The 21,400-nt window shown below is 49.8% G+C and overlaps 4 annotated features.

Moving 5' to 3' along the window:
• Positions 5,641-5,847: a silencer, noted in NCBI's record as "fragment chr9:36756569-36756775 (GRCh37/hg19 assembly coordinates)". NCBI's record gives its function as "represses an EF-1alpha promoter that drives an FKBP-Casp9 reporter gene in an ReSE screen in K562 erythroleukemia cells {active_cell/tissue: K562}" and the evidence as "EXISTENCE:reporter gene assay evidence [ECO:0000049][PMID:32094911]".
• Positions 13,382-13,900: an enhancer, noted in NCBI's record as "H3K4me1 hESC enhancer chr9:36764310-36764828 (GRCh37/hg19 assembly coordinates)". NCBI's record gives its function as "activates a minimal SCP1, AML or CMV promoter by ChIP-STARR-seq in naive H9 embryonic stem cells {active_cell/tissue: H9 hESC(naive)}" and the evidence as "EXISTENCE:reporter gene assay evidence [ECO:0000049][PMID:30033119]".
• Positions 13,901-14,419: an enhancer, noted in NCBI's record as "H3K4me1 hESC enhancer chr9:36764829-36765347 (GRCh37/hg19 assembly coordinates)". NCBI's record gives its function as "activates a minimal SCP1, AML or CMV promoter by ChIP-STARR-seq in naive H9 embryonic stem cells {active_cell/tissue: H9 hESC(naive)}" and the evidence as "EXISTENCE:reporter gene assay evidence [ECO:0000049][PMID:30033119]".
• Positions 14,940-15,099: an enhancer, noted in NCBI's record as "active region_28356". NCBI's record gives its function as "activates an Ori minimal core promoter by ATAC-STARR-seq in GM12878 lymphoblastoid cells {active_cell/tissue: GM12878}" and the evidence as "EXISTENCE:reporter gene assay evidence [ECO:0000049][PMID:35858748]".

Raw genomic sequence — 21,400 nt, forward strand, 5'->3', positions numbered from 1 at the left:
GCTGGGAGTACAAATTCTTGATGTAAGATAGCTTTATTGTTGTTATTTTGTGTTCTCTTTTCATCTCAGGAGACTGTGTGACCTTCTTTTGAGACTGGAGAGAATAGAGTGGTCTGATCTGGGATTCCTCACCTTCTGCACATGTGTAATTCTATGCAGTGCTGGTATTTGCCTTCTCTCCTAAGGCCGGGCTTTGCAAATGATCCCAATGGCTCTTAAGCCTCCCTGATTGGAGCCCTCTGACCATGATGGTGCGAGGTTGGTCATATGTGGTCCCAAGAGGTCACTGGTTAAGACCTTGGAGGGCACACATCTCTGAATTGGGATGAAGGTCACATTTGTAAGTTTGTTCCTCTGGCTTCTCTTGCTGATGCTTCCCATTGCTTATTACGGGATGTGTGTTGTTAGAGTGATGGGTGAGTGGAGGGAAGGATGCTGCTGTTTAGAGAGAGGTTAAGCCTAGACAACCCTTCTGGAAATCTCCAAACATTCTGGGAGTTGGCCTGGGGAGAGGAGGTGACCAAATCCACTCCTGTGGGCTAAGATTAGACAGTCAGGCTGGTCTCTGTCCTGACATGATTCCCTGGAGACTTCAGAGAAACCAGCTACCAAGGGGGTCCTGGTAATTCAGCAAAAACACAGAATATCAAAATAATTGGGAATCTTGCCATCCCTGGTGTTATTAACCACAGTGTACATTTTAAGGCCAGATCTTCCAGCTGATGAGTGTATAGGCATGTGTAGTCCACGGGAAGGAATTTTGTAGTTCAAAGTAGATGCACCCAAATGTAACTTGACTTTCTCTGTAACTGGGCTTTCCTTCTATCCTGCGCTCCTGTTCTGCCTGATGCACAGAAATCAATCAGTAGCGATTTCTTACTGAAGTCATAATTATTCAGGGACTTCCTGATGCTCTCAGCTGAGCTCTGTCACACTCAGGTTTGCTTCCCCTGTCAGGGTTTTCTCTCCATCCCACCTTCTGGGTTGAGGCTAAGTGGTGAGGAAGGGACTGTGCCTCTTCCCTTCCGGCCTGGGCAGGAGTGGCCCCTTTGGGCTGGAAACCCACTGGGTGTGGCCGCATCTGCCCATGCCCTTCGTGGGAGGGCTGTCCTAGCCACGAACCTCTCCCTGGCTCATGACCGCTTCCAGCCAACTTCAGTGCCCCATTTGGGAGTCTTGAGAATGTCCTGAATGTCCTTCCATGCAGTTCCGGGCTGCAGGGAACTGGAGGGGTCGGGGCTACCCTGAGCCTCTCATGTCTAGATGAACCATGTCACTCACGTATTCTCCAGTGACTGCTTCCTTGGCAGCACTAGGTGTAGGCCCAGGAGCTCTGTGTCCTGGCGGCTCCACACTTATCTGGGGGCTTTTAGCATCTTCTCCCCTCCTGTGAGATTTGGCCCAAAGGAGTAGGTGGCAGAGTTCAGGGCTGTCCCACACCAGCAACTGAGCTACAGCTTCATCTGCAGACTTCTCCTCCTCTCCAGGCCTGGGTGCATTTTATCTCGTCGGGGTGGGCAGGGGATAACTGATTCTAGTGGGTCATGGCCCCTCCTAATTTGTTCATCCTACACCTAGACTGTGGATCCTGAACTGAAAACCTCAGAACTTGGGACTTCTGTTCTTTGGTCCTTTCTGACAACTACCCCAAGGGATAGTGGTGGGAGTGGACTGGAGCATGACACGCTCTCATGGGGAATGATGGTTGTGAGGTGAAAGGGGGTGCTGGGGAGACAAGGAGACATGTCAGGTAACATCTCAGATTTGTGTCCCGTGATGGAGATTTACAAGGAGAGCAGGCAATGTGGAGCAACAGGGACTCTCATTCATTGCTGGTGGGAATACACAATGGTACAGCCACTGTGGAAGACAATTTGGCGGTTTTTCAAAAAATGAAGCATACTCTTACCATATGACTCAGCAATCATGTTCCTTGGTGTATGCCCAAAACAAAGGAACTGAAAAATTGAAATTTTATTTTGTCTACAAAAACACCTTAACTTGGATGTTTATAGCAGCTTTATTCCTAATTTCCAAAACTTGGAAGCAGCCAAGATATCCTTTGGTAGGTGAATAGATAAATAAACCATGGTGCATGTGTTCAGGGGGCTGCTGGGCTCCACCTTGCCATATGATCTTGGACAATGTATAATGGAACGTTACTCAGTGCTAAAAAGAAATGTGCTATCAAGCCATGAGAAGACATGGAGGAAATTTCAATGCATATTACAGAGTGAAAGAAGCCACTGTGAACAGGTACATACGGCATGACATTCTGGAAAAGGCAAAACTATGGAGAGAGTAAAAAGCTCAGTGGTTGCCAGGAGAGAGGGAGAGAGAAGGTTGAGTAGGCAGAACACAGAGGATTTTTAGGGCAGTGAAACTACTCTGATATTCTAATGATGGATAGATATCATTATACATTTGTCCAAACCCATATAATATACAACACCAAGAGAGAACCCTAACGTGAACTATGGACTTTGGGTGATTATGATGTGTCGTTGCAGGGTCATCAATTGTAACAAATGCATTACTCTGGTGGGGACATTGGTGGCAGGGGAGGCTGTGCGTGTGCAGGCATGTGGGGTGTACAGGAACTCTTTGCACCTTATGCTCAGTTTGCTGTGTATCTAGCACTGCTCTAAAAAACAAAGTCTATTTAAAAAACAGTCACATCACGTATACTGTGTTATTAACTTCTTTTTATACACCATGAATATTTACCACTGTCATCACATATTCTTTTATAATATAGTTTGTAATGAGTATGCCATATTTCATTGTATGCAAGTTTCGTAACTTAACTATTTTCCTAGTTTTGGATGTTTAAGTTTCCTTTTTCTTTTCTCTAAGAAAAAAATGCTAGATGAGTTTCCTTGGACATAATCTTCATGCAAATTTCTATTCCCTCTAAATAAATAAGGATATTTATTTTCACGTAAATAGTTGAGGATTTCCCACATCATCCCAACACAAGCTCTTGTGCACATTTCCACAGATACACGCATAGACACAGAGAAACACAGAAACACAAAGCCACGTGCAGTCTTGACTTCACTGTAGAGAATTCAGCTCATCTGCTTTGAATCTAGACACAATAAAAATATCCCCCTCTTTCCAGGTGCCACCAGGAAGTGAAGGCACTTGAAGGCATCTGTGCAGGAGGATGACAACTGCAAACATTAATCACCCCAAAGTGTCCTAGCCTCCTTTGCAGTTGTCACCCTCCTGCATGGATGGCCTGTACAGATGTCTTCGCTGGGCAGTAGAGTGACCAACTCATCCCAATTTGCCTGGGACTTTACTAGTTTTAGCACTGAAAGTCCCTGACTCTGAGAACCTCTCCCAACCTGTCCTGATAAAACTAGGATGGCTGGTCACCCTAAAAGGCAGAGGGTGGGGCTGGGTCCCTCTCCTTCAGTGCTGGCCTCTTCCCCTCATGGGCAGATATCAGGTGCACTGGGCTTACCCCGAGGGCATTGGGGAAGCTTAGGGACTAAGAAAAGTTTGATGCTGTTGGAACACAGCCTGAAGCCCACTGGTGCTCTTGAAGGGAAGCAAAGGAAAACTGTGTGTTCAGGGGCCTTCTGGGCTCAGCCCTGCCAGATGAGTTGACTAAACCTATCTCCATCTCATTGCCCAGTGGGCGTCGGGGACTTATCGCCTTCTTCTGAGGAGTGACATCAGCCTCCAGTTCGTTCACCCATCTGCAGCCACTCCCCTTCCAAGCCAGTTCCAAGCCTCAAACGTATCTCTGCTCAAAGTCTGTGATGACACTCCATTGTCGTTGGGATGGTAGGATGGTGTGGGTGGAACACAGATTTTGGAATCAAACAGATCAGGGTTCAAGCTCCAATGTTATCAGGCTATGTGACTTTCGACAAAGCCCTTGATTTTTCATTTTCCTTATTTATAAATGAAAACAAAATCTCCCCTGTAGGGCTAAAGGGAGAAGTAAATTAAATAAGATAACACATTTATAAAGTGCCCTGCACAATGTTTGCTACATGGTAAGTATAAAACAGTCAGTCACTATTGTTCTGACGATTTAGAACATCATCCAGAGACCCCAGACTGGGGTCATTCAGCAACCCCCCACCCTGACCTTGCCTTCAGCTCTGGGTTCATATTCACATCACCCACACCTACACTCACACCCCCACTTCTGCTGCCCATACTTCTTACTATTCTCCAGGTAAGTCCTTTCCTTTCTGGCCACACGCTTTTGCTGATTTACTCCCTTGCCTGGAACTCCAGTCCCCTGTTGAAGCTCCTACTCATCCTACCGTAGCCCCATTCCACCTCCTCCAGGAAGTCTTCCCCAACACCCCCAGATGAAATGGAGCTTTGCTTCCTCCTTGCTCTACCATTTGCTTTCTCCAGCTTGCACTTAGAGACTGGCCTTGCAGTCAGAATGGTTTCCTCTATGGCTATTTGCATCCATATCTCTTTTCCCCTATAGATCTTGGGCTGCTTGAGGGCAGAGTCTGTGACCTGCTCATCTCTGCCAGCCTCAGAGCCTAGCACAGAACTTTGCACAGAGCAGCTGCTCCAGTGAAAGTGTTCATTGTCCTAAGAGAGTGGTGGACACTGGGCACTGTGGAAAAACAGAGGGCGAAGGAATCACCTGCCTGGGGAGCATGGCATGTTATAGAGAAGGTGGCCTGGGCACTCAGCTTTGAAAGAGCAGGAAGGTAGAAGAGAAAAAGAGACAGAGGAACAGATAATCCAGGCAGAAGATGAGTGTGGGCAAAAGCCTGTGGGGAGGAAAATGTGTGTTTAGGGAAAAGCAAGGGGTCCTATTGCTGAAGGCTGGGATGGGTGCAGGTGTCACAGAAAGCCAGGTTGGAATCTGGCCGAGGAGGGAGATGCCCAACCACCCCAGTTCTTGCTTGCTTGACTGTGAACACTCTCTAGCTGGTATGGCCCAGGTGCACCAGAAGGATGCAGAGAAAGAGTTGTGATATAGATGCCCTGTTAAACTTGAATTGCAGATAAATGAAGAATTTTTAGTAAGTATAAGTATGTCCCATGCTTAGGTGGGACATACTTGCGCTACACAATAACTCATTGTTTATCTGTAATTCAAATTTAACTGGGCGTTCTGTTCTTATTTGCTATATCTGGCAACCCTCTCTGTGAGGAATGCAGTAATGCTGCAGCGTCAGAGGTGTCATTACCATTTTTTGGGCCATTGCTTCATGAGCAAAGACAGATTGAAGTGTATGAATCCCCACTGCACCTAAATGCAGATAAACATGACGAACGGTAATGGCTCCGGAGGAATCAACAGGAGTGTTTCCAGCAGCAGGTGAGTTGTGGGCGCTGGAAATGAGCATTTGGATGCTGGAGCTCAGGCCCCACCTGCCATCCCTGGGGTGTGAATTTCACAAGGGGGTCTCTTCTGAAGGAGCAAGGCTCAGGCCTGAAGAAACAAGGCTAGAAGTAGCGATTGAGTTTCCAGGCTTACCCACTTAAAGTCTGTTTTGCTATTAAGGGGCAGGGATTTAGCAATATTATTAATGAGGCTGGTTTGGGGGCTGGCCTGGAACCCAGCTTCTATTTGAAACTCAATTTTTATGGCGATGGAAACTCTTTTGTCATCGATTGGAAAGAAAGAGGCATCAGAAACATAGCTCCTTCAAGCCAATCACGGTTGCTGTGGTCTCCAGGCCATGTTCCAAGGAAGTGGGAGTGGAGGACGGGCATATTAGTGGAAACTGGGGAATAATAAAAAACGTAGGCTCCCCTCACCTCTCTTCTTCAGGAACCAGACCCTCAGAGAGGAAGTATTGTTTGCTAGGCACAAACCATGAGCTAGACACTTTCGGTTCATCACCTTGGGTAATCCTGCTGTACTTGTTTGGAGCTATCTCATCGTATGGGGATAGAAACTGAGGCTTGGAGAGGTGAAATAAACTGCATAATAAGGTCATATAGTTCAGCAAAGCCAGGACTCGAACCTGTGTCTATGAAGCTCCAAAATCTTGGCTCTTTATTTTGGGCCACATTAGAAATAACTCCCTGGAAACCCCCACAATGGGTCCCGGGATCCAACTACAAGATTCTGTATTCCTGACCTCACAGCTCCTCATCTAGCCAGTCCCAGCATGGAAGGGCTGGTTATTTGTCCACCAAGGCACTTGCTCTATGGGTGTCAAAGATGGTGGCTGTTACCACGTTTCCAGGAGGGACCCAGTGTTGCTGCTACTGTTCTCCAAATCCTCCCCCACACTCCTGTCATCCCTGAATGACTTAATCTCTGAGCCCTCTGAGACTTAGTTTGTACCTGTTTGTGGTTACGCTAAGTGGAGAGCTCCTGGGGGTGGGGGTTGGGCAAGAACCAAGTTAGTCCTCTCTTCCTTCCAGGTGCTCTAAATGTGTTCATGGAAGGGAGAAAACCCCAAAGGTTTATTGAACTAGAGTAGTCCAGGCAAGAAGAGCTGATGATATGTACAGCTGCATGTACATCGACCAGGCTAGACTAAGCTCATCTGCCTGGACTATGTAATATCTGATGCCTCAGGAGAGTGATAGGGTATTAGCTAAGGTAATGCTGGCTACTATAACAAACTCCTAATTATATGATGGCTCAAACAACAGATGTTTATGTCTCACTTGTAAAGTACCACACACATGTTCTGATAGGTATAGGTTTGCTAGATAAAATATGACACCTAGTTAAATTTGAATTTCAGAGAAACCACAAATAATTTTTTCCAAGTGATAACTCTCTACTCAGGCTTTCTAAGCATCTAGGACTGGTTCAGAAAGGTGGCTGGGGTTGCCTCTGCCCCTAAGCTGGGATGTATACTAAGAAGGCATTCATTGCTTATCTGAAGTTCAAACCTACCTAGATGTTTTGTTTTCATTTTTGTTAATTCTGGCAACTCTAGATAGGTGGGTGGTCCTTCTTCAGTGTTGGTTTAGGGACCCAGGCTCCTTCACCTCCTTGCCCTGTCCCTTCAACCTCTGGTTTCCACAGTCATGACACCAATTTGTATCAAACTGATGAAAGGGAATGAGCATGAGGATCACTTGGGGGAGGTTTTTGTGGACTGAGCGGTAACTAGAACACAAGGGTCTTCTCTCATTCCATTGGCTGGAACAAGTCACACGCCATGCCCAACGCCAAGTAAGGCTGGGAAATGTAGTCCAGCTCTGTGCTCAGGAAGAAATGGAAGAAGTTCTATGGACACACACACACACACACACACACACACACACACACACACACAGCTTTTTAAAGAAGGCATGATACATTTTCTTGGGTAGTCTTTTTAAGACTACAGCTTTACTTTGGCAAACACACACTCCAGGAGGGAACAAGCCAGTGCCCACATTTGTCAAGGAGAGAGTTCTTCCCTCTGCTTTCCTTGAAGAAAACAAATAAACAAAACATTTATTTCTTCTATGAAATAAAGTCCTGGTAAGAAGTTGTTGAGTTTGTGCTCTTAAACAAGCAGCAGGAGGGAGAGTCAAAACTTTGAACCTACCAAAGGCCCCCAAATCCATCTGTTGGAATCCTAGCGCCAGGGTGATGGTATTTGGAGTGGGGGGGTGCCTCTGGTAGGTGATTAGATCCCTCCTGAATGGGATTAGTGCCTTTATAAAGAGCCCTGGGGGCACTTCTTTGCTCCTTCCACCATGTAGGGAGACAGCAAGAGGACAGGTGTCTGTGAACGAGGATGCTGGCTCCCTCCAGACCCCAAATCTGCTGATGCCTTGACCTTCAGCTTCCTAGCCCCCAAAACTGTGAGAAATAAATTTCTGTTGCTTATAGCTACCCAGTCTATGGTTTTCTATTATAGCAGTTCAAATGGACGAAAACAGCATTCAATAGAACTGGTATGGATCCTGGTAGAGCCTGGTACAATCTTCTAGCGATGGGACCCAGATCAAGTTACTCAACCTTTCTGAGCTTCGGTTTTACTATCTGTGAAATGGGGCTAATGGCATGTACCTAATGGGGTGCTGTGAGGACACAGCCTGGCCCAACACTTGGCATATACCTAGAGCTCAACAAATAGAAACAATCTCACAGCTTCTGTTCCCTCTGTGGTCCTGTGGCAGCTACCCAACTTGATCCTGAGCTGAGCCTGTCTGGGGGACTGACTGGAGGGTCCTCCAGGAATCTGCCTGTGGCAAGGAGAGCCAGGTTGATAAACTAAGCCTGGCAACCAGCCTGAGTCACCCACCAGTCAGGAGGAGAACTTTCCTCCTGGTCCAAGCCTATCATGGATTTGTGTCTGGAGCCTCTGGGGAGGGGATTGGTCCAAATAAAACTTCTGAAAAATATTGGAACACAAGACTCCTTGGAACAATGCCAAAGTGGGGGAGAGGCAGTCCCCACAGGGACGCAGGCTGGCTGTGGACCATCCAGGGTGCAGATAATGGTGGCGAAGATGGTGCTGCCCAGTGGGAGGTGGCTTCAAGGCGGGCACAGAGGCAGTGTGTGTGTGTGTGTGGGGGGGGGGGGGCTGCGTTCTCCCATGACTTGGCAGAAAGCTGAAGAAGAAGGAGGAGAAGCAGTAGCTGAGAGGATAACTGGTAAAAACATAAGAGTTTTCCAGAAATACTTGAAGAGGTACTGGAAGCAGCTAGACAGCCAGAATTATCAGGTAGAGGGGGCACAATGAAACAGTGAAGCATTAGCTATCCATAATGACCCCCTTCACACCCAGGGTTGGTGTGGTTGGGGTAACCTAGGTCGCATCATTGTCTTCAAAGAATAATTCCCCAAGGTACATTTGATTGCTGTTGGCATGAGTGTGTCTCCCTGACCCCCACCCACCAATTGATGTCTTCCCCTGGGGCTCTGTGTCCTTCAGGAGAAAGTGCTTTGCCATCCTTGATTCAGACTCAACCTCTCTGTTCTCCCTGCCTGCATCTCACACCCCTCTGATTATGGAAAGATTGCCCCTTGGTCTCCAAATCATTAATTTTGGCTGTGTAGCTCCCACCTAGCAGAGCTTTTCTGCTCTGAAAAACTCTGATTATAAATAGTTCAATAATACACGTCCTCCTGAGCTTAAGACTCTGGCTTATGTAATTGGAAATCTGGATGTGAAGCAAGTTAAAGTTGATGCCATAAAGACAGTAAAATAATTAATCACTTTGCTCTGTCTAATAGATTCAAGGGCATAGGAACAGCCTTGCGGCCAGGGTGAATCTTCGGGAGTGGCACTTGCTGTCATGGCGACCTCGGCAGGCACTGGGGAGATAGGCAGGGAAATCAGCACCTGGGGCCAGAGGATGGGGTCTCAGCAGGGTGTGCCCCTCCAAGCTCACCAAGGCCCTACTGATCAAGATGTCAGGCATCTGTGACCCTCTGATCCCCCACTCTCCCCCTGTCCCAGGGTTCCTGTATATTGTGCATGTCCTTAGGCTCATACAAGCCTGGTCCCCCCAACTGCCTCCCTGGACATGGTGGCTCTGATTAGATAATCCCTCTTCAGCCCACAAAGGACTTGAACTCCCACTATCTTGCTCTATCCTCACAAGGCTCTGTGAGGCAGGCAGAACAATTATTCTTTCCCTCCCACTTGTCCTAAGGGAAAACAAAGGCTCCGCTGGTTCTGGGTGAAATGGCCCATTTCACATGTATCTTTCTCAAATTCACACAGCCAGTTGGTGGAGCCATGTCTTACACTCCCATCTGGGTGACAACTTAGCCTGTGCCTTCTTGGCTCTGCTCGCCGGCTCCCTGACAGGCCAGGAGCACCAGGCTGTGGACATCCACCTGAGGGAGGCTGCTCCAAGGGCAGGGACCAGGTCGGGGAGCATAATATTGAGCATTAACAATGTGCCAGGCAAGGTCCTAACCACCTTCACACTCGTGATCTCGTTTATTCTTCAAATCACCATCTAAGGTAGCTGCTGTTGTTCCCATTTTATAGATGACGAAACAAAGAAACAAGCACAGAGAGGGTAGGAAACTCGTGTAAGATCACACAGCTCATAAATAGCAGAGACAGGATTTGAACCTGTGCTTTTAACCACTGTAACCCATGGGCTCCTTGGAAGCCTGTGAGGAGCCTTGAGATGGGATGGAACTCTTACTTGAGTCAGTGCCTCAGGATCGATTCTAGGGTCTAGCACAGGAAGGGGTTCACGAGATGTTGTTGAAGGTCGGGCAGGGTGGGGTCCTTCTGCCTCTGGCCTGGCTGTCTTCCTTCACTTATTCCAAGCACACGCATTTCCTGATCTGGGCCAGTCCCTGTCCTGCACTGGGAACACGGGGGTGGATGAACCACAGCCTCTGCATCTGCAGGGGCAAGTGAAGTGTGGCAGGGCAGATAACAGCCAAGTCATGTGGTAAGTGCAGGGCTAAGAGCACCATGGATGCCTGCATAGCACCAGCTTAGGTCAGGGCATCCCGGTAAGGTGACAGCGGAGAGGGGACAGGCATGCCAGGTAGAAGGAACAGCATCAGCAAAAGCCTTGGCGTCAGGAAAGAGATGGGGTGAGTGGGATCCAGAGGCGTGGCAGAGGGCGTGCAGGAGATTTTAAGGGCCTTGAGTGCCAAGGTAAGGATTCTGGACTTTCTCTGGAGCCGCTGAGCAGTGCCATGACCCAGTGCCGTTTTAGGAAGTCAGGTCTAGTGAGACAGACTGGAGGTCGCGAGGCCAGGGAGGAGAGGGCGGGTGGCAGTGGGAATGAGGGCAGTGGCTCTGCTTGGTGAGGGAGTGTAGGGGATAGCCTGGGGCCTGCCTTGACTTCTATACGTGTTTGTGCCCCCACATCCCCACACCAAGGCCAGTTTTAGGTTTATTCTGTGTGTTGTGAGCGAGCTCCGGAGAGGGGGCTGAAGCGACGCATTTGAGACCCCCAACCGATTTCTGCCTTTAGGACTATGATGAGAGGAGCAGCTCTTCGCTTGGGGTTCTTGGTACTTTTACCTGAATCTGTCCAAGGTGACTTCTGGAATGAGTGTCCTGAAGGCAGGGGACAAGCCCAAGGGAGTGGAGATCATCACCAAAACCAGAGCCTCCTGGGTTTCAATCTCAGTCCCACCATTCAGAAGCTGTGTGCCCTTGGAGAAATAATGTCACCTCTCTGGGCCTCTGTTTTCTTATCTGTGAAGTGGGGCAATAGTGATGCTGCTCCTACAGCAGCTGTGAGATTCTAGCAAGCTTTACCTGGAAAGCATGTGGCACACAGAGGTGCTCAGTTACACGTCACTCCTGGGACCTTTGTCATCATCTTGTCTTCCCATTGGGATCAACGCATTGAAGAAACTGCAAAAGATTGCTGGGTGCGGTGGCTCACGCCTGTAATCCCAGCACTTTGGGAGGCTGAGGTGGATCACCTGAGGTCAGGAGTTCAAGACCAGCCTGGCCAACATGGTGAAACTCCGTCTCTACTAAAAATACAAAAATTAGCCAGGCATGATGGCAGGTGCCCGTAATCCCAGCTACTCGGGAGGCTGAGGCAGGAGAGTCGCTTGAACCTGGGAGACGGAGGTGGCAGTGAGCTGAGCTCAAGCAACTGTACTCCAACCTGGGCAACAAGAGTGAAACTCTGTCTCAAAAAAGAAAAAAAAAAAAAAGAAATTGCAAAGGATTGTTGTTTACCTGGCTGAGTAGCTGCAGGTAAACAGCTTGAAGCTGGGATTGGGGGAACTGTGGGGTTGAAACCCCTCCCTCTCTGTCCCCTGGAGTAGGACCACCTGAGATGGGGGTGAGGTTCAGGGGGTCTGACACCTACCTCCTGGGAGATGAGCATAGAGAGAGTAGTCTCCATTCCCCACCCATCCCTCTCCCTAGCCCGTCTCCTGCAACACTGTGCAGGAGGGAGCCAGGCTGGGGTGTACTACCATTTCACATGGGGGGAAGTGGGGGCATAGGGAGGCAATGGGACTCCCCAAAGTTTCCTCTGGAGCTGGGAGGGAGGCCTGGGTTCCTCTGTGGGGATTACAGAGGACCTTGAAGTCTCTTTGTGGCAGGCTGGTGTCATGCAGACAGGGGCAGGCAGCGACGTGAGCACTTCTGCCATCTCCAGTGAGGGATGCGCTGCTCAGGTGAGGAGAGCCTTGCTCAAGGTGACTGTGAGCTCCTGACTTCTCAGTGTGCTGGCAAATGGACCCCATCCATCCTGGGAGGGAGAGAGCCTGACTCTCGCCCCACATGGCCCGTCAGGGTGGCCATAAGCTCTCCAGGCGCCTGGGGAGCTCCCTCGGGACCCCAGCAACCGAAGACAATGCCTGGTTCCCAGCAGCCCAGCGCCTGTCGGGTGACCTTGAGGACTCACCTTCCCTGGTGGCGGCTGCTGGGAGTGGAGGAACAGGGCTCAGTCACAGGATGGAAGCAGGTGTGTGTGTGTGTGCGTGGAGTGTGGGTAATATGTAAGGATAGGCATCTCCCCAGCTTTTTTGGGGGGAGGAGAGCATCCAGCTGGGTATCCTCCCGGGTCCTACCAGCCTGTCAGGCAGGAGGGGAGACCTGGGAGAGACTGACTTAGGCTGACCTGGGGTGGATCGACCCCGAGGCCCTCCCTGAGATCTGAGCTGGCATCTGCTTCCGCACCGTCGTTCTGACTCCTCTACCCAGGACTAGTTACGGTCACCATCACAGTCAGTAGGACTGTCAATCATTGTTTTAAGTACTGATGTATATCCACCTAGTTGGTCCTCATTTTACACATAGGGAAACGGAGGCAGAGAGGGCTTAAATAGTCTAAGGTCACAGGGTGAACACGCACTCAGTCACTCCCTTCTGTGGCACTGCCTCAGGGGGCCACATGTGCTGGGAAATGCTGTTGTCCTGAAGCAGCTCAGCAACTGCTGGGTCAAGAGAGGGGCAGGTAAGGCGCTGAGGGCCTTGGAGGAAGGAGGACCACGACGACAGCTGTGTGGTGTGTACAGTTGTGTGGGGTGTTTGTGTGGGGTGTGGGGGGTGTATTTGTGTATGATGTGTGTGACGTGGCATATGTGTGGTGCATGTGTATGTGTGGTGCGTGTGCATGTATGATGTGGTGTATGTGTGGTGAGTAATGTGTGTGTTGTCTTTGCGTGTGATGTTTGTGTGTGGTGTGGTGTATGTGGTATGTGTATTGTGAGTGGTGTATGGTGTGAGTGGCATGTGTGAGTGATGTGTGTGTGTGTGGTGTGTAGTGTGTTTATGTGGTGTGTGTGTTGTGGTGTATGTGGTGTGTGTGTGTGTGATGTGTGTGGTTGTGTATGTGGTCTGTGTGATGTGCGTGAGTTGTGTGTGTGTGAATGGTGTCTGTGGTGTGTGTGAATGGTGTGTGCTGTAGTGTAGGTGGTGTGTGTGAGTGGGGTGTGTCTGTTTTGTGCGTGTGAGTGGTGCATGTAGTGCATGTGTGCTGTGGTGTGTGTGAGTTGTGTGTGTGCTGTGGTGTGTGAGTGGTGTGTGTGGTGAGTGGTTGTGGTGTGTGTGGTGTGTGTGTGGTGTGTGTGTGCTGTGGTGTGTGTGGTATGTGTGTGTTGTGGTGTGAGTGGTTTGTGTGTGGTGTGTTTGTGTGGTGTATGTGGTGTATGTGATGTGTGTGTGCTGTGTGTGGTGTGTGAGTGGTGTGTGCTGTGGTGTGTGAGTGGCGTGTGTAATGTATGTGTGCTGTGGTGTGTGTGGTGTGTGTGAGTGGTATGTGTGATGTGTCTGTGTGCTGTGGTGTGTGCGTGGTGCGTGAATGGTGTGTGAGTGGTGCGTGTGAGTGGTGTGTGTGTGTGCTGTGGTGTGTGCTGTGGTGTGTGTGGTGTGAGTGGTGTGTGCTGTGGTGTGTGTGATGTGTGTGAGTGGTGTGTGTGCTGTGGTGTGTATGCTGTGAGTGGTGTGTGCTGTGGTGTGTGTGATGTGTGTGTGCTGTGGTGTGTGTGTGGTGTGAGTGGTGTGTGTGAGTGGTGTGTGTGTGTGGTGTGTGTGTGCTGTGGTGTGTGTGATGTGTGTGTGCGCGTGTGAGGGAAGGAATTTCGGAGGAGGAGGTGGCAGGTGGCAGGTGGCGCAGGTGGCAGGTGGCGCCGGCACTTAGCCACCAAGGGTGGAGGAGGGCCTTCAGGAGGAGGAAACTAGCGGCGAGCAGGGGGTCAGAGGAGGTAAACGCTGTGAACATACCGCCAAGTCCCCATGCTGGGGGTGCAAAACATTGTCATGAAGGATAAGATTGGGGGGCTAGCTAGGACAAGATTGTGGAGGACACTGATTATCAAGCTGGAATTATGCAATTTCTGTCGAGAGCACCTGGTCACCACCGCAGGTCTTTAAGCAGCTATGGATGGGAGGCGACCCTGGCAGCGGCGGGCGAAGATGAGTTAGAAGGGGACAGGAATGAGACAAGAGGAAGGGAGGGAAGAGACGAGGTGGGGAGGACGGGAAGGCGTGCAGGGAGTGGGCCGGTGCGAGAGGGACATGGGATGGAGTCCACAGGGGAAGAGCTGGGGACTCCAGGTTTTCTGGTCAGGAGAGACTGGAGACGCCACTGACAGAAAGAGGAGGAACAGGTGTGGGGAGAACTGATGTTTCTTCGACCAGAGCCATCTGCGGAAACATCGTCTCCTCCGTGGGGCCCAGCTTTCATTCCTCACAGCAGTGATCACTGCATGGCAAACAATCACATTCATCTATTATTTGTTTCTTGTCTTTGCTCAATCAGCATATAAGAGAGTACGAATTCCATCTGCCGTGTTCACAGCGCCATCCCCAGAACCTACAACAGTGTCGGCTTCTAGTAGGTGATCGCTAAATATTTTTTGAGTAAATAAACGAATGACTCATGTCGTGCTGGAGGGGGACTGTGGGACAAGCATCCAGGAGGACTGGAGATCTCCAGGAGGGACGTCTGAGCAAACAAGAATGTCCCACACGTGGAGGTCACTAAGCCCAGGCTGTGTCTGAGATGGTTCTAAGAGAGTAAGAGAGAATGCACAGAAAGAAACCGGATCACCTCCTATGCCCCCAGCGCCTGCACAAAGCCTGGCACACAGCAGGTGTTGCGTGTTGGTTGACTGAATTAATAGATGAACCTGCTCTTCGGCGAGGAGTGAGACTTCCTGTGCATAAGGGGCTCGAGCAGGAAGACAGCTGGCCGAGAGCGTGCGCTGGGGTCCAGAAGGTTGCCTCAGCTTCACAGGTGCCCATGGGTAACGTGTTGTGGTTCCCCGGAGACTCTGGGCGGGAGGAAGTGGGACCATAGAGAGGGGCCCACTTGGGTAGAGCGTCTACCTCCGAGAGGTGGAACTTCATTGGGCGAGTGGGTAGCCAATGAGGAAGCTCCCTGAGGAAGAGCCCGCCCCTGGAACTGGGCCGAGGCACCGCCCCCGCGGAGGAAGCCCCGCCTCTCCCCGTCCCTAACACTGAGGCCCCAGAGGCGAACTGTCGGGACTCCCGGGCTGCTTGGTGGCCTGAGAGGCCCCCGAAGGGCTCTGGGCTGCGCCTTCATCCGCTGCTTTCCTGTGTGACAACCCCAGACCTCATCCTTCAGGGGGTCTCCATTGCCTCAGGTTCCTCTTTTTTTCGAGACGGAGTTTCAGTGTTGACTCCCAGGCTGGAGTGCAGTGGCGTGATCTCGGCTCACTGCAACCTCCACCTCCCGGGTTCAAGCGACTCTCCTGCCTCAGCCTCCCGAGTAGCTGGGATTACAGGCGCCCGCCACCACGCCCAGCTAATTTTTGCATTTTTAGTAGAGACGGGTTTCACCATGTTGGCCAGGCTGGTCTCGAACTCCTGACCTCAGGTGATCCACCCGTCTGGGTCTCCCAAAGTGCTGGCATGAGCCACCGCGCCTGGCAGGTTCCTTTTCATCTAGAAAGAGGCCTTCAAGGGTTAGCTCTGGTTTAACAAAATGGATTCAGTGCTTCCTGTACCAGGCGCTGGTCTACGCTCTTTTTTGCTTTTTCTTTCCCTCCCTCCCTCCCTCCCTCCCTTCCTTCCTTCCTTCCTTCCTTCCTTCCTTCCTTCCCTCCCTCCCTCCCTCCTTCCTTCCTTCCTTTTTTCCTTCTCTTCTCTTCCCTTCTCTTCCTTTCTGTTTCTTTCCCATAATGCATTTATTTTGTCATACTTTTAGTGACACGGGAGCTTTCAGAATGCAGACTTGAAGATACACGGTGATCTATGTGAATGGTCTGGGCTCTGAGGAAACACCTTCAGACCCTCTCCTCATGGGCCTCACCATCTATGGGTGGAAACACAGTAAACAAACCCGCAGTCTCTTCTATAATTACACATTGAATAAGTGTGTCAAGAAACAAAATAATGGGGCATAATTCAGGTAGCAATACTGGGAAAGTGACATTTGAGCTGAACTAGAGAGCAGGGCACTATTGGCAGTTGGAGAAGTCTCCACGCTGAGGGAACAACATGAGAGAAGTCCCCAAAGCTGAGATGAGTGTGCTGCATGTAGGGCGAAGCAGCCAGGCTAGACGGGGAGGTCCGAGGTAAGAGCAGAGGAGAGCAGGCCGTGCAGAACTCCTTCGAATGTTTTTATAATAGGAGTTTAGATGGTTTTTTTCTCGGGATACTGGGAAGCCACTGAATATTTTTACAGGGAAGCACCATGTGATTTTCAAATAATTACTCTGACTTTGTGTGTAGAACAACTTGGGGAAGAGCAAGAAGATTTCTGTTGAGGTGGCTGAATTTTCCTCTTTATGGCAATTAGAGGCAATTTGAGATGAGGCAACACCCAGAACCTTGAGTTGAAGGGCAGTACATCAGAAGAGGCACAGATTATCCCTAATCCTCTCCAGAAATATATGAGCTTGTGTGTGGCCTTGGGCAAACGACTTTCAGGACTGAGAGAAGGAGTGGAGGGAGGGGGGAATGCATGGGATGTCTCACAAGCCACATAGGTCTGCCCAGGTGTCCCGCATATCCCAGTGCATTCCCTATAACCTGTCCCAGAGTGGTTTTCCTTTTTCTATCACAATCCCAATTTTCCCAGCTGAACCATTCTCCAGTCCTGGGCTGGGTTCTGCCATTTCCTTGCTAGAAGCCTCCAGCCTTCTTGCTTCCATTTTCTGGTTCCTGAGAGGCACTTGCCTGTAAGAAATCTGACTCTCTGAATCCATAGTTGAATCAGGGTTCAAGCAGTTCATAGCAAGTGAAAAATGTCCTGTCTGGCCACCCAGCAGTGATTGGAGAGGAGGCTGAGTTGATGGTCCTCCAGGCTGTACAGACCATGAGAGCAGGGATGTAGCAGGTCCTCAATAAGTTACTTGTTGTTTGGATGGTACCTTCATCATGATTTATCAATTCTAACGTGCCATCAACTGTAGGAAACACTGTCAATTCATCGACAACTTTGCAGGACATACAAAAGATAGACATGACATTAAATATACACACCAATTATAAGATACATTCTAACAGGAACACCAACATGTGAAAAAACAATGCATACATTTGAGAATCGAGAACTTGTGTAGTAACAATCATCTCTCTAAGAACCAGTTTGCAAACCAACTTGTGTGGCCCATTTAGCTGTGAAGGGCTTGTTGCTTTCTCATTCTCCTGTGAGTCTTGCTTTTCTGTAGACACATCCCCAGTCCTGTGGATTTCTGAAGCCCAGTTTTCCTCTCCTCCAGAAAGTAGCCACGGCCCCCATCAGCAGATGTGCATGGTTGAGCTCCCTAGGCCATCTCGCCACCGACTTTGTAAATGACCAGCTCCACAACATATTTTCTTTAGAGTTTACAGGAATAATGAAAGTGACATAGAACTGTGCAGCCAGATTCAAATGAAAGGACAAATGTAGTTGGCCAAAATGAACAATTATAGGAAACAAAGGGAAAATAACGATTAAAGATCTTTCATTACAGCCCGCTAATTATCATGAGTTCTGGACTTAACTGTTCAGGCATAGAATTAAAAACCTTAATTATATTGTCACCTTTGTCTCTCAGCTCCCATTGCCACAAATGAATCCATTTACTGTAAGTGCTGCTGATGAGCAGAAATTGATGGCAGTCCCAGCGAGGTGGGAGAGGGGGCCCAGGAGTGTGTGTGGGGGGGTATGCCAGGCAGTACTACCAGGCCCACACAGCTGGGTGGCATCTGCATTCCAGGACATTATAAATTAGAAACACTTTTAATGAGACAAATACAGGTTTAATGGATTTTATGATTTCTTCTCCCCTTCAAACCACTAACAATGCTCCTCCTCTTTCTTTCTTTCTATTAGAGCCAGTCTCTTGTTAAGTGATTGCATTAATGGTCTTTGTAGACAGGCTGAGTGTGGGAGGACAAGAGGGACTTCCCTTGTGAGGGCATTGGAAGGCTCTTCTCTCTGAAGGAAGACAATTCTCGGCTGTTGTTCCAAATGGGAGCATTTTAAAGCCCAGTGCGATGAGTGGAAATGCGAGATCACTTTGAGAGCTAGGGAAATTGGAAAAGAATGCAGCAGACTGGTTGGGGAGATAAAATCCTCAAAACTAGCCAGTTAGTTCTTTTGAGAGAGAGGCCAGCCAGTTCAGTGAGAGCCAGGCGTGGCTGTTGGAGAGATGGCCAGGTGGTCAATTTCTTGACTTCAGGGTGGGATGGGGTGCGGCTGGGAGTGAGGAGCCCTAGAATTATAATCAAGCATAGTATTGTGGTTCTGGACACAAACTCAGGAGCCAGACTGCCTGGTCTTGAGTCCATGCTCCGTCTCTTTCTGTGTGACTCTGGGCAATCTACCTGACCTGTCTGGGCTTCCGTTTCCTCATTTGTAAGGTGGAGCTATTGATAGTACGTACCTCATAGGGTTGATATGAGGATTAAAAGAGTTAATATGCATCAAGGATAGACAGTGCCTGGCATATTAGAAGAACTACATAAATGCTAACTATACCAAGTAAAAAACAGCCCTGAATTCAAATAGTCTTCCACCTAATGGCAATGTGACCCTGGATATGTTAACCTCTTCAGGCTTTCATTTCTTCTATAAAGTGAGGGGAGCCACCCCATATACTTTAGAGGTTTACACTGGGGAATCGTGAGAAAATACGAATGTACAACTGTTGTGTACAATTACTAGATAAACTCCAGGTCTGCCTTGCGCCTGCTTAGATTTCAGTGCCAGGCAGAGAAAGGGCGGGCAAGTGGTCATAGAGAAACTTAACCTAAAATAAGCTGAAAGCCCTGTGCTAACAAACACACTCAGTGGCCATGGGTATCTTGGGTGAGGGGTTGTTTCTGGAGGCAGGGGCTGTGCCGGATGCAGAGTAGGAGCTCAGGCAATGTGGCTGCCATCACTGTGAATGCATTGAGGTCTCTGCCCATCCCTGCGTAGCTGTGGATGGAGCGCAGTCCCACCCTGGTGTTGGTGGCGTGCCTATCTCCTATCTTTGGGAGAGTCGGGAGCCAGTGTTGCCATGGTGATATGGAGGAGTTAATGGGATGGAACTTGTCACAGAGCTGATGGTGGGATGGCAGCGGTGACTGCACTGTGTTAAGATGCTAGAAACAAAAGGGTGAGCACCTTGGCCACGCGAGATTGTGACCAAACCTAGCTCGTGGGGGTCTCAGGTTCTGCCTTCCAGAGAGCAGGAGGGAGTCTTGGCTGCTGAAGGTCTTTCCTCCCACTGTCTCTGCATCCATGGCCCCCAGTCCCACCCCTGATTCTTCAGAGAAGGGACCCGAGGAAGGACAAAGACAAAGACAGGAAAGAGATGTCAGGGAGCTGCCCTACAGGCTGGGCAGAGGGGGAAGGGGGCACCAATTAGAGATGGGAACCAAGGGGCAGGAGAGAAAACTGTGCCCCCACCCCTCTTGCCCCAGGCCTCAAGAGAAGACCCCAGACAACTGGGTCTCCTGGGTGACCAGGGGCTTCTGTGTCCCTTCTCCTATCACTTTTGTCTCTCCAAAAACCTTGAAAGTAACAAAAGCAAGGTTTATTATCCCCATTTTCCTGACAAGCAAGCTGAGACTCAGTAAGGTGGGAGCCCTCCCCAGGGTCAGTGACAGAGTTAGGATCAGCCTTCTACCTGTAGGTCCCATGTCATTTTTCCTAAAATCCCAAGACTGGCAGGACTTTGGGGTCGGGAGTGGGTAGAGCCTCCACTGCTCTCACTCCAGGCCTTCGGGTCTTTGTTCAGAAGCCCAGGCCCTTTCTTCAGCCTTGAACTCAGCTCTCTGTGTGCCAGAAGCCAACTGGGTGAGAGCAGTTGCTCCATCAGCCTGTCCAGCTCCTCCCCAAGAACTGGGCACTGCAGAACTGACAAGGGCTTGGTGGAGAAGAGCGGGTCTGAGTATCGGGGAGGGCCAGCCTGGCCCGCTTCCTTCCCCACCATGTGCCCCCTGTGTGACCTTGGATCAGCTTCCTACCTCTGAGCCTCAGCGTCCTCATCTGTAAAATGGGACAAACAGGACTTGCTTTTCCACCTCACAGGTTGGCTGTGGATGTTGAAACACCTAGTAAATTGGGTACAATGGCTGTGAAGAGGCACGAGCTGGGAGGCTGGTAGGTGTGGAGTTGGCCTGGTGCCACTGTTGCTCCTGAAACCCTCAGGAGAAAGCCTGAGTTCCCAGCCTGGCCCTGCCCTCCTGAGACACTTCCCGATGCAGCACAGCCCTCATCTTGCCCTCCACTTTACCATTTCCCAAATTCGCAAGACCAAAGACACATTTAGGTCTTTGCTCTGGTTGGTTCTCCCACCGTACCTCCCTTAGCCTGTCAGTGCTGACTTCTGCTAGAATGCTTCTCGGAGTGCAGAACCTGTGCCTCCTCTGTGACCCACTGTACGGCAGAATCATCTGCCAGGACCATTTCCCTATTTGCAGCCCCTCTCCTCCCTCAGACTAAGCATCTGAAGGACCTGGTCCAGTGAGTGTTTGCTGACAGCCCTATGAGTATGGGCTGCATGGCTGTCTTCACTGCACAGATGTGGAGACAGAGGCTCAAGTGAGGCAAGTGACTCACTGAGGTGCTCCTGTGGGCTAGACGCAGAAGTCTTCATCTCTGGCTACTGGTTCAGTGCAGTGCTGTCTCCCCTTATTCATCTGGGTCCCACACTTGAGGTCAGGTAAGTTGGTGAGAGCACACCTATATGAATCACAGTTCATTTAACTGCAGATAATAGAAGTAACTTTAGTTGTTTAAGGAAAAAAAGGGATTTAAGACAGGGGACTAGGCGCTTACAGAATCATAGAGGGGTGAGAGAAGCAGGGTCTCAGCTAGGTCTCCAAAAATGACACCCAGAACAACACTGGAGAATTGGCCGGCCAGAAGAGCCCCCGCCTCTGCCACAATCAGGGAAGTAGGGGAATCCAGAAGCAGTCACCAGCGAGATTCACAACAGTAAAACAATGATGCCCAGGGCGCTGCTTCTTGACCTACTGGGACTTCTGCAGATACCTCTGCACAAGCCGAAGGAGCAAAGCAGAGGCAGCGCGGCCCCTGCCTCACCTTAACATCCAAAAGCACTTACTCAAGTGCATCTGATTGGCTGGACCCAAACCACATT

Source organism: Homo sapiens, chromosome 9 (genome assembly GCF_000001405.40).
Source record: "Homo sapiens chromosome 9, GRCh38.p14 Primary Assembly".
NCBI classification, from domain to species: Eukaryota; Metazoa; Chordata; class Mammalia; order Primates; family Hominidae; genus Homo; species Homo sapiens.